Source organism: Homo sapiens, chromosome 11, assembly GCF_000001405.40.
Source record: "Homo sapiens chromosome 11, GRCh38.p14 Primary Assembly".
Classification (NCBI taxonomy): Eukaryota; Metazoa; Chordata; class Mammalia; order Primates; family Hominidae; genus Homo; species Homo sapiens.
In genome coordinates this window covers 121,928,490-121,931,674 of record NC_000011.10, presented here as the reverse complement: position 1 = coordinate 121,931,674, position 3,185 = coordinate 121,928,490, and the positions used below count along the sequence as shown (strand labels likewise).

Below are 3,185 nucleotides of genomic sequence, written 5' to 3'. Positions count from 1 at the left end.
CCCTCTAAGGATGAAGATGTACCACATTTCAAGATATTTAAGAAAGTACCAACAGTGTCCATGCATAACTTTCCAGAAGAGTTCCAAAAATGCTTTGAGCAATTTCTCAGTATCTTGGGAATCAGCAAAAATCTACTGAGAGGACTGCTTTGCAGGCAATAGTGCTGCTTTGGAATTAGACATTCTCATTCATGTGTTACATAACAATAACAAGCACTTATTAACTGTTTACTATGAACCAACTCTATCCAGCAATGTTTGCGTGTGTGTATTCTCACTGAACCCTCCCAACAATTATATGAAAACAGCAACAACAACAATGGTTGTTTTTGGCATTTACTGAGTGCCCATGATGGGTCAGACAGTGTTAAGGATTATTTCGTTTTAAACCCATTTTACAGACAAAAAAACTGAGGTTTAGAAAAAAGTAAAGAACTTTGCTAAGGTCCCAAAGCCAGTAAGAGAGGAACTAAGATTCATATGCAAATGTATCTGACTTGCTTATAATTACTCTGATTTATGCCTGTGGTAGGCTCTGCACTGTGATGTGACTGCCGGATTTATATATATATTATATATATACGTATATATATAATATATATATTATATATATATTATATATATTATATGGTAGTAGAATGAATATATTACTATATATATTATATGCTAGTAGAATGAATAAACTTATATCAGTGACAGTGGTCCCACCAAGGCAAATAAGAACAACAAGCAAAAGTGATACAAGAGGGTTCAGCTCATCTAATTCCTAAACTACAGCCACGTTCCTGTTCATAGGAGAGAGCAGTGGGCATCAGAGACCAAACCTGGATGTCTCCAAGCCAGCTGCAGCATGGGGCTTTGTGATTTGCTGTTTCACTCCAGTTAAGCCCCTGCAGGGCCCTGAGTCTTAGTCACTCCAGCCAGGCATCAGGAATGGGTACATTCACCTCCCTTCCCCAGCCTTCCCCTATGAATATTTATAAAGCGCTCTAGAATCCTGGTATCCCATAAAAATGCAAAGTACGATTATTATTAATGATACAGTTAGCAAGAAGGACATTTGTTATTTCTACTCAATTGGTTTCCCCCAGGAGCAGAAACAATTTTTTTTGACATAGTATTAATGCGCCGCCTCCGCAACTTTGGTCATCTGTCATCTTCTTTCGGACAAAGTTGAGCCAGTGTCTCAGGCAGCACCCTTCCTTCCCCTTTGCAATATCGGCACTAGCTGAGCCCAAGTGGCTTTATGGTTTAGATGAAACTATGGATCTTTATTTGATTTCTGGTATCAGGAAACAATTTATGAGGATCAAGGCAGTTAGGCTACGCGACTTCCTTTCTTGCCGAGGTAGTCGCTAGTCGCACAGGCAGCCCTGGCTCATAAATCTCGTTTTATTTCCCCATCTATTCACCTGGAACTAAGTGATTTTTTTTAAGGCAAAGGGGAGAACACATTTCCTTATGTAAGCACTCTTCCTCCAGCTCGTAATCACCATTGTTTCTCAGACGAACTAGTGAGCAGCTGAAGCAGGAGCCATTTCCATTTTCGTGCATCACACTTGTATTTTCAGAGTTTACAGAAAAATACTGCAACCAATTTGGGATTTCCCTGTAATGAACCACTTCCTCTAAATAAACCAGAATTGATTCCAATGTGAATTTCAGAGACGAAAGGGCTTTCTGAAAACATCTATTTTCATATGCCCTTCAGAAACTACCTTGCCTTTCTTTTTGCTCCCATCCCCCGCTCCCACCCTCCCTCAAGCCCCCCACCCCGCCTTCCCCTCCTTCTTAAGAAGACTTTCCCAGGTCCCTCTTGGCTGTGGTTGAACGACGTTGGCTCCTGTCCATGCTGCAACAAAGACCTGGCATTCCAGCTGTCTGCGTCTAATCTCCAGTGTCAGCTCTCGTTAATGTGTGAGCGTGAAATCAGAGGGGGCAGAGCTGCACGGAATATTAAAACCATGATCAGAATTCCACTGAAATGCTGAGAGTCTGCAAGCACCATTAGAGGAGGCTGTCAAATCACGGCTTCGCATTAAATAAAAGAAAAGATTTCTATCAGAGGAAAGTACAATCAGTGAATCGCTGAGCTAAATTAGCATTTTTTCAATTGGAGATCGAAGTTGATTTATTGTTCTACACGACATTAATGTAACTATGTGCTTGACCTGCTAAGGCAGCTAATTTTTCATTTAAATGGTTTCTTTCCTTCCCGGTGCAAAGGCTGCAATCATATTTCAACTTTGCAGAGTGATCAGAAAAGTCGTGGAATGCTGCAGAAATGTCTTAGGGCGGCCTTCCTTCCCCTCCCCTCTCTTTCCTTTCCTTTTTCCAACTCCAGCGCCTTCCTCCTCCCCTCCCCTTCCCCCCTAACCTCATGGCTGGTGGTCAAGGTCACAGAGGAAGAGTAATCTCAAAGCCACCGACTTCAAAGCCTCCATCAAAGAAGCCCCTACGTAGCCATTGAATTAAAAGGGAGTGGGGGAGGGTGGGGTCCTGGCACTAGACGTTCCTACCAGCAAGAAAGGACCCTTTAACTGCCCTGCTGGTGTGGCCAAATCTGGGGCGTCCTGGGTCCAGTTTTCTCCTGCAGGCCTCTCAGTATGTGTCTCTTCTCATCCTCCCCATCCCCCTCTCCTCCACACTCACATCGTCTGAAGATAATATACATTTCCAATTAGCAGAGCACATTCTAGTCATGTTCTCTTTTACTGCCCTAACTATCTTCCTTTTGCTAAAAAGCTGGGCTGTCATTAATGAAATCCTGCAGTTCTGTTAATCCGAGATACAATGCTCCTTTCTCTCTCAGTCTCTCCCTAACATAAAAACTACAGTTACTGAAGCTCCCCTCTTCTGTTTGGAGTCCTCGTTGTTTGTCTTTCATTGCATACCTGATGTAGCATAGTAGCAGTCGAAGTTCCCGGACGGATGTAGAAGGAAAAAACACAATTATATTTGTTTCCCAGTGTCCTTGTTTGCAAAGGCAGCTGGCATTTTCTGTTTTTATTTTTTTAAGCACATTGATTTTTAAGCTCTGGAAATTTAGGAATATGTCTTAGGGTAGTTTGGGGGCCTTTGCCTATAGCAAATTTGTTGGATTTAAAACAATTATAGCTGGAAGCCCTGGAAGAACCCTGATAAATTACTTTCCGGCGTTTGTCTGAAATGCCTCTTATGAATTA

General features: G+C 42.1%; 2 annotated features.

Moving 5' to 3' along the window:
* Positions 1,212–2,612: an enhancer, noted in NCBI's record as "VISTA enhancer hs872". NCBI's record gives its function as "enhancer in: neural tube[7/8] | hindbrain (rhombencephalon)[7/8] | midbrain (mesencephalon)[7/8] | forebrain[6/8] | eye[7/8]" and the evidence as "EXISTENCE:transgenic organism evidence [ECO:0001131][PMID:17130149]".
* Positions 1,856–2,356: an enhancer, noted in NCBI's record as "NANOG-H3K27ac hESC enhancer chr11:121800027-121800527 (GRCh37/hg19 assembly coordinates)". NCBI's record gives its function as "activates a minimal SCP1, AML or CMV promoter by ChIP-STARR-seq in naive H9 embryonic stem cells {active_cell/tissue: H9 hESC(naive)}" and the evidence as "EXISTENCE:reporter gene assay evidence [ECO:0000049][PMID:30033119]".